General features: G+C 42.5%; 1 protein-coding gene across 5 annotated transcripts in view, besides 1 other annotated feature; it reads right to left on the bottom strand.

Moving 5' to 3' along the window:
• Positions 1–7,875, bottom strand: part of JHY (junctional cadherin complex regulator) — an 81,104-nt gene extending 73,229 nt beyond the window's left edge. For 4 of the 5 annotated variants that reach the window (NM_024806.4, NM_001363087.2, NM_001363088.2 and 1 more), the window contains exons 1-2: positions 7,662–7,875; positions 4,441–4,873 (exon numbers count right to left, since the gene is read on the bottom strand). In NM_024806.4, the coding sequence (NP_079082.2) occupies positions 4,441–4,784 (344 nt within the window). In that variant the 5' untranslated portion in view covers positions 4,785–4,873; positions 7,662–7,875. Of the gene's footprint in view, positions 1–4,440; positions 4,874–7,324 lie in introns of all 5 variants that reach the window. The other variant, NM_001363089.2, reaches the window with a different exon arrangement.
• Positions 7,397–7,756: a silencer, noted in NCBI's record as "silent region_4010". NCBI's record gives its function as "represses an Ori minimal core promoter by ATAC-STARR-seq in GM12878 lymphoblastoid cells {active_cell/tissue: GM12878}" and the evidence as "EXISTENCE:reporter gene assay evidence [ECO:0000049][PMID:35858748]".
• Positions 7,876–13,255: the final 5,380 nt, after the last annotated feature.

Raw genomic sequence — 13,255 nt, 5'->3', positions numbered from 1 at the left:
AGGTCCCTGAGCACTGGACAAAAGGAGAAAAAAACCCAACAACTGGGAAATGAGGTCACTTCATGGATCCTTACCTTGGTTTCTTCATCTTAAAAATACAGACAAAAATACCTATCCATTGCAACAGATGTTTCCTTTCCAGTGGCCCCATTTCTATAACTAAAACTACTCCCATTTATTACCTAGGAGACTATAAATCTCTTAGAACCAGGATAAAAACAGGGTTTGGGGCCATGGAGTCAGACTGCCTGAGTTTTCTGCTCCACCACTCACTAGATGCAATGAATGGGTATAATATAACTTTTAAAGCTTCATTTGCATCCTTCAAAATGGGATCATGATAGTATCTACCACGGTTGCAATAAAGATTAAATGAGATAATACATGTAAAGTGTTTAGCACAGAAATGGGCTCATGATAAGCATTCTATAAATGCTAGCTGTTGTTACAGGAACCCTAATCTTTGGCTTCTCTTGTTCCTTCAATCCTCATATCTAATCTGTCACCAAACCCTGTCAATTCTTTCATTTATATATATATATAATTTCAGTTAAAGTTTCGTTGGAAAAAAAAAAACAAGAAACTGGGGCCGGGAGTGGTGGTTCACGCCTGTAATCCTAGCACTTTGGGAGGCCGAGGTACACAGATTTCCTGAGCTCAGGAGTTCAAGGACAGCCTGGGCAATGTGGTAAGACCCCATCTCTACTAAAAGTAGAAAAAGTTAGCCGAGCATTGTGGCGCACGCTACTCGGGAGGCTGAAGCACGAGAATCATTTGAACCCGGGAGGCGCAGGTTGCAGTGAGCCAAGATCGTGCCACTTCACTCTAGCCTGGGCAACAGAGCAAGACTCTGTCTCCAAAACAAACAAACAAACTGGGAACATCCCAAAGTCCACCCTTGGGTGACTGAATAAATATATAATGGCACCTCCAGATACTAGAATACTATGTACCATGTACACATGTATTATGAACATATAAGTATAATCATCGCTCAGTTATCTGTGAGGGAGTGTTTCCAGGACTCCCTGCTGATACCAAAATCCAGGGATGGGAAAGTCCCTTTTATAAATTGGGGTAATATTTGTATATAGCCCTGCATGTCCTCCTATATATTTTAAATTATCTGTAGATTATTTATAATACCTAATACAATGTAAATACCATGTAAATAGTTGTTATATTGTTCTGGAATAAAGCCAAGAAAAAAAGTCTCTGTGCATGTTTAGTACAGATTCAACCATCCATTTATTCTCCAAATATTTTTGATCTATGTTTGGTTGGATCCACAGATGCGAAACCATGGATACGGAAAGCCAACTCTATCGAAGGATACCCAAGATACACATGGGTATTTTGTTAAATGAAAATAACCAGTTGCCAAAGAGGATGTCTAAATCCATCTCATTTGGTTAAAACCATGTAAAAAGATTCTCGAGCTCACAAGTTATCAGAGAAAAGTAATTTAAATCTATAATAGGACAGGATTTTATAACCCATCAGAGTGGCAAAAGTTAAAAAGACAGTAATTCTGAGGACTGGTAACTTGCAGGCACTTGTGAGTAAAGTTGAAGATGTCCAGTCGCCCATGAACCACAGTTCCACTCCTGGAGATTTATACCCTAAGGAAAGCCTTGCATGCATACCCAAGGAGGCACACGAGGACATGCACAGAGCATTGTCTGAAATAACGAAAACTGGAAAAAAACTAAATATTCATCAATATTCAACCAAGACCATGTCTTAGTTCAAAAGCATAATTGTAAAATCCCAAAAACATAATGTTGACTGAACAAAATGGGCATCATGCATCCATATATAGATATATATTTATTCACTAATTATAGATCACCTATGAAATAAATGAATGGAAGACTGGTGAGAAGGATGCACACTCACGTAAGAGTATGTATTGATTACCTCTAAGGGGGAAGAAAGGGGAATGAGTTTGAGAAGGGGGTACATGGAAACTTTATCTGTAATACACTATGAATTTTAAAAATAGGTCTGAAACAAATATGGCAGTAAGGGTTATACTGTATTTTTCTCTGTAATTTTCTATAGGTTAGAATTTTTGCATGATTAAAAAAAAAAACAGCATCAGTAACACAACAAGGACATCCTCCAAGCACTATAACCTTAGACGAGTTTCTTCATCTCTGTTAGCCTCATTTTCCTTATCTGTAAAATAGGAAAAGCAGCAACTTCCCTACAGGATTGTGATGGAGAATTGAGTGAAACTAAGATAGGCTTTTAAAAAGTGATGTCATTGTTACTGTCATATCCATCCAGCAGTCTCTTTGCCCATTGTGTGTTTAGTCTCTAATTCAAAATGCACTAGCTTGCATAATAATCTTCCTTAAACGCTGCTGCATCTCACTGCCCTCCCCAAGAACCTGTATTCTCTCTGCCTGGCTTTCCCAGCCTAGTCCTATCAAGGTTGTCTGTCTCTCTGAAGCTGTCCTGCAAGCCTCTTGCGCCTCTAGCACCTTGGTGACAACTCTTATCACTTTTACTGTGACATATCACTAAGACACTTATGAGATTGATTCAACTAGATAGCCCCAGTGAAAAAAAGGGGGGGAAGACGAAAGGAAGGAAGAAGAAAGATAAGAAAGAAAGAAAAGACTCAGGACCGGGCTCTACTTCTCGCTCCCACACGAGCCCTTGCAGTGACTGTATCCCAAGGACAAATCATTTGAGTTCTGTAAGACTCAATATCCTCATCTGTGGTAGGATGGTTACACTTCAAGACCTGAAAATGTATCTTCCAATACCATAAGCACATTTTTAAGGCCCCCTTATAATCAGACCCCTACTCAGTCTATTTTTGCTACACTCAAAACAAATCCTCTGCAATCCAGCTGGGCTCCCTAATGTGCCACAAACATGTCACTCCCATTCTCTTCTGTTATCCAGAACTTAGCTTGTTTTCAAGACCCTGTCCAAGTTCTAGGCCTTCCAATAAACTTTCCTTAATATATTTCAGCCTGAATTAAAAAAAAAAAAAATCGGCCGGGCACAGTGGCTCACGCCTGTAATCCCAACACTTTGGGAGTCCAAGGTGGGCGGATCACAAGATCAAGAGATCGAGACCATCCTGGCCAACATGGTGAAACCCCGTCTCTACTAAAAATGCAAAAATTAGCTGGGCGTGGTGGCACATGCCTGTAGTCCCAGCTACTCGGGAGGCTGAGGCAGGAGAATCACTTGAACCCGGGAGGTGGAGGTTGCAGTGAGCTGAGATTGCGCCACTGCACTCCAGCCTGATGACAGAGCGAGACTCCTCCCCCGTCCCACACACAAAAAAAACTAACACGATATAATTTATAAGGAGCCAGTCACTATTCTAAACAATTTATATGTATTTATTTTAGCCTCATAATAACTGGTTAACTATTATTATTATCCCATTTTTACTGATGAAGAAACTGAGGCACAGAAATATAATTGGACTTGGCCAAGGTTATACAGCTAGTAAGTGGCAGAGCCACTATCTGAACCCAAATGGTCTGCTTCAGACACCATGCACTTCACCACCACACTAAAACCTCCTCCTAATCAATAGCTTTTACCTTCTTCTGTACTCTCATATCCTCAGTGCCTCAATTGTAACAGAGTGATATCACACATTATTTCATATTCCCTTACTTTTTTTTGGTAGCTCATAGCACAAGGTTAAATCCCTTAAATTCTGGTTATTAGATTAAATCTTTATATGATCATACAAGCCCTGAGAGGTAGACCTCTACTAGCTTTGAATGGGCCAAGTAAGATTCTACCCCCAATTATTTGTACTTTATTGACATTCATAGCAATCCTGTGAGATAGGCAAGTCAGGTTATTTGACAGACGAGAAAAAGTGAGCCAAAAAAAGAATTAAGTGGGTCAGGCATGGTGGCTTATGCCTGTAATCATAGCACTTTGGGAGGCTGAAGTGGAAGGATTGCTTGAGGCTAGGAGTTCAAGACCAACCTGGCCAACATAATGAGCTCCCATCTCTATTGTAAATATTTAATACTACATAAAATTTTTAAAAAAATAAAAAAAAGAGTTAAGTGATTTATTCCAGATTATACACTAAACAGCAACGCCTGGACCAAATCAAGTCCACCTGACTCCACATCCTTTTCCATACCCGGCTTTCTGGAATTTCTCCCAGGTGAGGTCCTAGTGCGGAGACACTTGGAATATGGACAGGAAGTAAATGGTATGAGAAATGCGAATTGCCCTTATTAATACCCATTGCACTTTTTAATTAAAAAAAATCTGAATATGGAAAAAACATGGTGCCCAGCTATCCTTGGCTGCTTGGAGACCTGTCTCACACACGGCGCTCATTAGGGCAGCTTGCCCTTACTCTAATTTGGAATGACGACAGTAATTATCTAATGATACATTTTAGAGCCCATTATTATCTTACACAAGCCAATTCCTTACCTGTTATTGGCGCCCTGGTCCCAGGTATGGTGGTTTTGCTCGCGAGCCATCTGAGCTGCTTTTCCACTTGCTTCCTCTTCCATCTCGTGCAGGCTTCCCCATCGAGGGCTTTCCTCCTCGTCTAAGCTGTCGGGCTCCATACCGTTGCCCCGGATTCGATCATCAAACTCAGAATGGCACATAATCTCTTGCGTGAGGCTTTCTGAATCAGATTCCAAGGAGTCTTTTGAAATCCGATGTAAGTCTTCTTTCTTCAAAGGTGGGTGTGTGGACTGGACATTTAAGTTGGTATGAAGGACAGGAGATTGAATAGAGAGCTTGGGAATTAGTTTACGTTTACTCATCTTGAAAAATGCAAAAAATTAACAGGGGATACTCGTGTTGATAGGAGCAGCTGGCTGATATTTAAAGTTGTGGTTCACAAAAGCGTTACCTGAAAAAAAATATATTTATGTTACTCTGCGACCACTAAAATCTCAATACTGTCAACGTTAATCAAATATTTAAATGAGTAAGAGAACCTTGTTATATTATCTGCAGGCTTTTGTATGCACCCTTTTGTGTGTATAAGAAAGGTCTATTAGAAAAACAATTGTTTTTCTCTCTGCAGAAACACATCTGATGTAGCGCTCATAAGCAGCCTGAGTAATCGAATGCAGTTTTATTGATGAAATAAATGGCTGCTTGGAAGTGGATTCCTATTTCTAGCTTCCAAGGGCTTGTTACAGACAAGCCTGGACTAAGACAAATGGTTAATTATGGACAGTACTTTGATAGCCTTATTTCAAATGCCCAAATAACTATGGGCAATATAAATATGGTCCGTAGTTATTCATGGATAGAGTAAAACAGGTTCAGGGGCTATGTTTTGGAAAGTAAAGTAAGAAGAAAGAAGAGTGTAGTTTTCCATAGTTGGAACTGTAAATGGGGAAGCTGTTTTGTTCCTAGACCTATATGGGCTGGCAACATCATTTGGAAAAGACTTTCTGATAGCCAGGTTGTGACTAGATAGGAACATATAATTTAGGTGGACATAAATGGAGATCAACCTCATCCGGTATTTTTTAAAACCCATAATAACGATTAAAACTGTTCAACAATCACGCCTGTAATACCAGCACTTTGGGAGGCCAAGGTGGGCAGATCGCTTAAGTCCAGGAGTTCAAGACCACCCCGGGCAACATGGCAAAACCCCATCTCTACAAAAAAAAAAAAAAAATACAAAAAATTAGTGGGCATGGTGGGATGGGCCTGTAGTCCCAGCTACTCGGGAGACTGCGGTGGGAGGAGGGTCACTCGAGCCGGGCAGGCAGAGGCTGCAGTGAGCTGGAGTGCCACTGCACTCCAGCCTGGGTAACAGAACGTGACCCTATCAGAAAAAATAAATAAAACTGTTCAACAAAAGATTTAGTGGTCTTGTGAATTCTGCCACTGAGCGATCCAAAGCAGAGCCTGGAGGTCTACATTACCGAACGGGATGCTATCCTGGGGAAAGTTGAGTGGGTGGGAGATTGGCCTGAATTACAGCTAAGAGTTAGCTGGAGTCCCTTCCAACTCACTTACGAGTGTGATTCAAGTGAACCTGCACTGTCTGTAAGGGTCATTATAAAGAGCCATGGAAAGGGTGCTTTGAGTTCATGTAGGACCGAACGGACATGATGTTTTTGGATTGTGCTTCCTTTCATCTCTACCTAGCATTTCTATTTTGGTCTATTTTCTATCTCACTGCCTTTATACCCATTTTTTTTTTTTCTGTGAGTCAGGTAACAGAAACCTTTACCATTAGAAATTGCTGTAAAATTTGTCTTAATGGCTTGCTCTTGTTCTTTTGGCAAATCCTAACTTTAATTAAATGACACAACCTTATTACTATTCCTAGGATTGCTTATAATGTTGACCTTGTTGCTAATGTTTGCAAGGAGCATCATCAAATCCTTGGAGGAAAGCACCTTAACAAACAACAGGCAAAAGGGAACGTTCATATGTAAATACACACGAAGTGAGTTTTCTATTGAACTCGAAGTCTGCCCTGTTGGTAGACTAACATATTATTCTCTAATATTACAGACTGGTTTGTTGTATTATTTTGTCTCTTATTTTTAAAATACATATTGCATTCTGCCTTATTATTTTAATTGTTGCTTTTTTAGGATGTGCCAAGAAAGCAGCAAATCTATCAAATACTAACACATTTTAAGTAAAAGAGATTGTTTAACACCGGTTTTACTGGAGGAGCTAAGGTCACTGAATTTGAGATCCTGAAGAGCAAGCTTAAGCGTTATAGTGCAACTTAGAATTACTCTTAAAATAATTCAGTCCCTTGAACTTCTCTTCTTAAATGAAATAGGCTAAGCTTTCTTGGAATGAATAAAAAATAAAACAGTAACCACAGAAGATAATTTTGCTGATGTTAGCAGATTCCTGAAGTTTGCTAAAGTATGCAAAGAGCAAAGCCAAACGCCACAAAAGCTGGGTTTTCTGTGGAGGCCTGATCTTACCAAAACATGGGGTGGAAGAAGGAACAGCTGACAGCTTGAATAAGTTAGAAAGTGGGCGTTTAAATTTCATGAATGTGGCTCCCTCCTCCCGTCCAGTGAAAAAAAAAAAAGGTTGTGCCGCTGAAATTTCTGACCAAGAGAGGTGACTAGTCTCCTGAATAAACAAGACAGCGATAGATCCGATGGCACCTAGGGACTAAGAAGCGGCCAGCTCCCCAGGGATCCCTGCAGTGGGTCTAGTCCACTAGCATGGGACAATCGAACTTTCTCCTGGAGGGGAAAAGGAACCCTGCTTGGGCTCACCAAGATGAATCGTAAAGAAAAAGGAACGAACCCTGGTTTGAAACAGGCCGGAAGCTGCCCAGGGGAGGCGTTCGGTTTTCTACCTTTGCTTGTTCCTGAGGAACAAGGCCTGTCACAAGGGGCGTTTGGAGGTCCAGGAAGTGACAAGTCGGCGGGCCTGGTGCCCGGGACCGGTCCTAATTGACCGGGAACAGGGCTGCTCTGGGTGCCCGGGCGCCGAAGCCTCGCATGGCGGCCCCCCAGCCCCTTGTCGCGGCCTCGCCCCCTTGTCGCTCCCCACTCCGTCCCGAAGGCTCCCGCGCCGGCTCCTCCCCAGCTTGCTTGGGTGGTTTCCTGCCGTCCCCATCCCCAGTAAGCCCTTCCCGTTTCCCTCCCCGGGCGCGCCGCCCACCCCAGATCCGGGAGGCCACCGCCCGTCACCTGCCCGGCGCTCCTCCGCGGCCGCGACCCGGACGGGCCCCGCATCCTCCCGCGCCGCCGCCGCCGCCGCCCGGGCCCCCGCCCGCCCCGGCGCTGCCCTGGAGACCGCAGACAACACAGACGCCGGCGCCACATGGGCGGGGCAGGACCCGACCTAGGATCCCGCGTCCCGAACCGCACCCCCGGCCCTGGCACGGAGGCTGCAAACGGCCGTAATAACGACATCGGGGCAGAGCCGGAGGAGCCCGAACGCCCCGGGAGAGGCTGCCTCGCCGCCCGGACTTCCCAGCGCCGGAGGGCAGAGGCCACCCGGGGGAGGAGATCTTTGCCACAAATAAAACTACTAAAATACGCGAGGAACTGCTACAAATCAAGAAGAAAAGGAACCCAATTAAATAATGGGTAAATGGAAAGGTATTTCACAAACACACGAGAAATCTAAATGGCCAATAAATATCTGTTTATTGAAATGATGCTTTAATTCATTAATAATCAGAAGAAGGCCAATTAAAACCACAGCGGATAATACCACACTCACCATAAGTTGAGTCGAAAAGTCCAAAGTTGAAACGTCTGGCAGCGTCAGGTGCTAGGGAGGACGTAGTGCAAAGAACCGTCACCTTCTGCGGGCGGACGTGAGAACCGATGCAACCAACCATTTTGGAAAATGGTTTGACATTAGCCAGGATATGTATGCCTTGGGATCCAGCAATTTCACTTTTAGGTATTTACCCTAAGAAGTGCGTGCTCCTGTGCATGCAAACTGGAAATAACTGAACTATCCATCAAAAGAATGGTTAATTAGATTATGCTATTGCCTATACTGGCATACTACATAGCACTGTAAATGAATGAAATACAACTATGTGTAACAATATGGAGGCATACTAAAAACACAATTTTGAACAACAACAAAAACCCAGAAAAAGTACATACTGTATGATTTTTGTATATAAAAAACAGGCTAAATTACACTCTACAGTGATTGTGGCTCCATACTTAGTGGAGGAAACTATGAAAAAAAGCAAAAAAGCAATTTTATGGGAAACACTACCCACTTAGTGATTCCCATCAAGTTAGGATTGTGGTCGGTTCTGGCAGGTAGGGAGAAGAATGTTTTTGAGACTGTATTTCCTGACCTTAATGATGGTTATATAGATGTTCATCTTGTAAAAATTCATTAAGCTGTACATTTATGTATGGGTAGAATATTTCACTATCAAAAAAGGTTTCAAAAAAGAATAAAGAAAGGAAGCATTAGGAATTATCTTCACATTAAAACAACAAGTAGATTTGAATAACTACCTTCAAAGATTGGTTTGAGGCCAGGTGCAGTGGCTCACCCTGTAATCCCAGCATTTTGGGAAACCGAGCTGGAGGATTGCTTGAGCCCAAGAGTTCAAGACCAGCCTGGGGAAAATGGCAAAACCTTGTCTCTACGAAAATTTTTAACAATTAGTTGAGCGTAGTGGCGCGTGCCTATAGTCCGAGCTACTTGGAAGGCTGAGGTGGGAGGATCACCTGAGCCCAGGAGGTTGAGGCTGAAGTCAGCCAATATTGTGCCACTGCACTCCAGCCTGGGTGAGAGTGAGACCTTGTCAAAAAAAAAAAAAAAAAAAAAAGAGAATTCTTCGGCCAGGCACAGTGGCTCATGCCTGTAATCCCAGCACTTTCGGAGGCCTAGGCGAGTGGATCACCTGAGGTCAGGAGTTCAAGACCAGCCTGGCCAACATGGCAAAACCCCGTCTCTACTAAAAATACAAAAATCAGCTGGGCGTGGTGGTGCACGCCTGTAGTCCCAGCTACATGGGAGGCTGAGGCAGGAGAACTGCTTGAACCGGGGAGGCAGAGGTTGCAGTGAGCTGAGATGTGCCACTGCAATCCAGCCTGGGTGACAGAGCGAGACTCCATCTCAAAAAAATAAAATAAAATAAAAAAAGAATGCTTCAATACCAGTTGCCTCATTAATGATAGGAAACACAGGAAATTGGAAAATGTCTTTACTACCCAGCTTTAGCACTTTTTATTCTGTTTTTTATTTGAGTTAGTTTTTTTTTTTTTTTTTTTTTTTTTACTTTTTTGGCAGCAGGGACCTTGTCTTATGAGTACACAGTAGGACCTCAATGTCTGTAGAAGAAATAAAAGCAACGTAGCTGAAACCATTAGTGTTATTCTGCCCAGTATATTATACAAGGTATTATTATAGCAACTGCAAACATGCAAGCAAATTTCAAGCAAAAGGATTTAGTCCTAATAGTGGCTTCCAGAATATGTTATAGAATCAATGCTGAGTCATTCACACTTGTCTACTTTTGATGCTGTGGTTCTTTAGACTCTTCCAGTGTTTTCTGCACTATCCAGAAGAGATTTTAACTGGCTTTTCTGAAAATTAGTGGTCCCTACGTGATTCAGGAGTCTGTCAATCCAGCAGCTACTTGCAGAGACTAGTCACACATAGAGCGTGGGACACTCTGGGCTTGATCTTCCTCCTTCTCCCCTTGTAATGGCTGTCCTGAGTATCTGGAGTGACTAAAGGGTGGAATAATCAACACGAGTGGTAGTCAGGGTCAGTGAGAAGACAGAAACCATGCCAGTTAGTATAATGGAAATAATTTAATATGAAGATTTATTAACTGAAAAGTTGAAAAGGGAACACAAGTGTCATAGAGGTAGTAAGTACAGGAAGCAGCTTCCACCTCTGTGGCTGGGGAATCACAGGAAAGAATTATTCACACTTAGAAGTATTAACACTGAAATTATTAACACTCAGAGCTGGGACCCAGGCCTCTCAGGAGGGTGAAATCCCAAGCTAGTGGGTGCTGGTGTCTTTGAAAAGGAATCATGAAGCTGGTTCTGAGAGTGCTGGGAAAACTGGAATCAGCTACTGCTGCTGAAACCAACTGAGCTGCTGGAGTGAAGAGACGTTGTCAAGGTGACCTCGAGAGGAAAAGGAAGGAGCAGTCCCTTTTCCAGTCTCCAGGCTTGGGGTCTCCCTCTACTGTCCCCTCCTGGCAGAGTAATACAAGGAGCCGGCTGGCAAAGAAAAATGAGGTTTGTAGGGGTTGCCCCAGCATCACGACCAGAGTATATGAGTGAAGCTGAGAGACAATGGTTTAATAAGCAGCACACTAATGCTCTGCTTTTCAGAATTCTTAAGGATTACAGAGTGCATGCAAACAAAATAAAACCATAAAGTGCATTGTTTTCATCTGCTGTTATGGTAATAACATTGATAATTTACATATGAATAGCACTTCACAGGGTCTGCAAAGTGCTTTTGCATATATTATCTTTTAGAATTCAGCTGTCAACCTGACCCTGAACTAACCAAAATACGCAGAATAGGAAAAACAAGTCAAAAAGCGCTTAAATACATGGGTTAGTAATACTGAACTGAGTTTACTCCTTTTCCACCCCATGCCACCCATTCATGCAACTCCCTTCTTTCTGTTTCCCTCTCCTACACATCACTCATGCTCTGTTCGTGAGGTCCTTCCTCTGCTCCATTTCCTTTTTGGTCTTACCCCTCCTGAGTCCACCAGACCTATGTCTAGCTCAGCAGCGTCTCCTCTAGCAGGAATTTTGTGGCAGTTCCCCCACATTGTCTGATGCTTCTTGGACCAGGGTGCTTCTCAAGCTGGAGCAGTTTTATCCTTCACGGAGAGTTGACAACATCTGGAGGCATTTTTTTGTTGTTATGACTTAAGGGAGTACTACTGGCGTCTAATGGACAGAGGCCAGAGATGCTGCTAAACATCCTAAAATGCACAGGACAGTCCCCCCACCCCCCTGCCAAAATTATGTGGTCCAAAATGTCAATAATGCCGAGGTTGACAAACTCTGTGCTAGGCTAATGGCCCTTGGTCTGTGGTCTCAAGGCACCCAACTGCATGCCTCTAGCTTTATACATATGCTTGTACAACACTGCATTGAAATTACATGTTTATATTTATGTCACCTCCTTACTAAACTATGAGCTCCCAGAGAACCAGAGAACAAGGACAAACGTAGTGAATGGCACCTAATAAATCCTCAGTAAATGTTGAAAAAAAGCCACAATATCCTTAGACTTTAGCACATGATTGGGGAGTAGATAAGTAGTCAGTCCCTTTAATAGAACTGGTGAGAGTGGCCAGTCAAACCTTGTAACAAGGATATACTCATATTTGGCATATAACTAGGTTGATCAGATAATTTATTAAAATCCAGGATAGCCAGGTGTGGTGGTACATGCCCTATAGGTCCAGCTACTCAGGAGGCTGAGACAGGAGGATCATTTGAGCCCGAGATTTCAAGGCTGCAGTGAGCTATGATTGCATCACTGCACTGCGGTGTGGGCAACAGAGTGAGATCCCACCACTAAAAAAAAGAAAAAGAAAGAAAAAGCCAACTAGGATACATTCAAGAATTTTTTTTAAGGATGCTATTTATTAATTACACTGGGACAATAGGTATACACTGAAATTGTCCTGGGTAGCCAGGCAGTGTAGTCATTCTACATATAACTGTAATATGTTTAATTGTCTGGTTTCTTCACACGTAGGGTAAATCAGAAAGGGTCAAGGAGGGCACTCTCAGGGCAGAAAGAAGGGGCAGTACCAGCAAGAGAAGTGACCAAAATATCACAAAAGCAAGAGATGTTCAAACAAACAAAGCAACCTGGGTTCATTTGGTGTAAGGAACAAACAGCCTTATTCCTGAATATCCTGTGTGAGAATCACACTATTATGGCAAGTGCCAAGATTAATTTTCATAATGATTAACTTCTTGAAACTCATATAGGGTAAGTCAGCTTCATAAATATTGACTAGAAAGGTAAAAGTCATGTAACTTATTTTACAAAGACTTTTGTCCAAAATATTAAAACATTTAACATCTCAAAGAGATAAACCTCAACTATCCAAAAGAAAAGTATTTACTTAGAAAGAGTCAGCCCTGAGAATTTTAGAGGACTGAAATGGTATAAATATATGTTTAAACAGAAAATGAAACTCAACAGACAGAAATACGAGTAACTTTGACACCCTTCTAGAAGAACGAGCCACGTGCTGGGGAAGCCCAGAGGAAGAGAATTCAGCCTGGCCGGGATCAACTTTGGGAAATAGATGATCTGGAAGGATGGCTCTTAGGAATGCAAATGAACAGATTATTATTATTATTATTATTATTTTTGAGACAGAGTCTTGCTCTGTTGCCCAGGCTGGAGTGCAGTGGCGCAATCTCAGCTCACTGCAAGCTCTGCCTCCCGGGTTCATGCCATTCTCCTGCCTCAGCCTCCCGAGTAGCTGGGACTACAGGCGCCCGCCACCACGCCTGGCTAACTTTTTGTATTTTTTTTAGTAGAGACGGGGTTTCACTGTGTTAGCCAGGTTGGTCTTGATCTCCTGACCTCGTGATCCGCCTGCCTTGGCCTCCCAAAGTGCTGGGATTACAGGCATAAGCCACCATGCCTGGCCTGAACAGATGATTAATGACAGGCTTTTTTCTCCTTTTTTGTGTCCTTGGTTTTCTTTCTTAAAAATAATTTTGAAACATTTCATCATGAAAATTTGAAACCATATTCAACAGTAGAGAGAAAAGTATAATGAATGGGC

The sequence above is a fragment of the Homo sapiens genome, chromosome 11 (genome assembly GCF_000001405.40).
Source record: "Homo sapiens chromosome 11, GRCh38.p14 Primary Assembly".
In the NCBI taxonomy this organism is placed as follows: Eukaryota; Metazoa; Chordata; class Mammalia; order Primates; family Hominidae; genus Homo; species Homo sapiens.
Note: the sequence above shows the minus strand (reverse complement) of the source record. Positions and strands in the feature narration are given on the sequence as shown.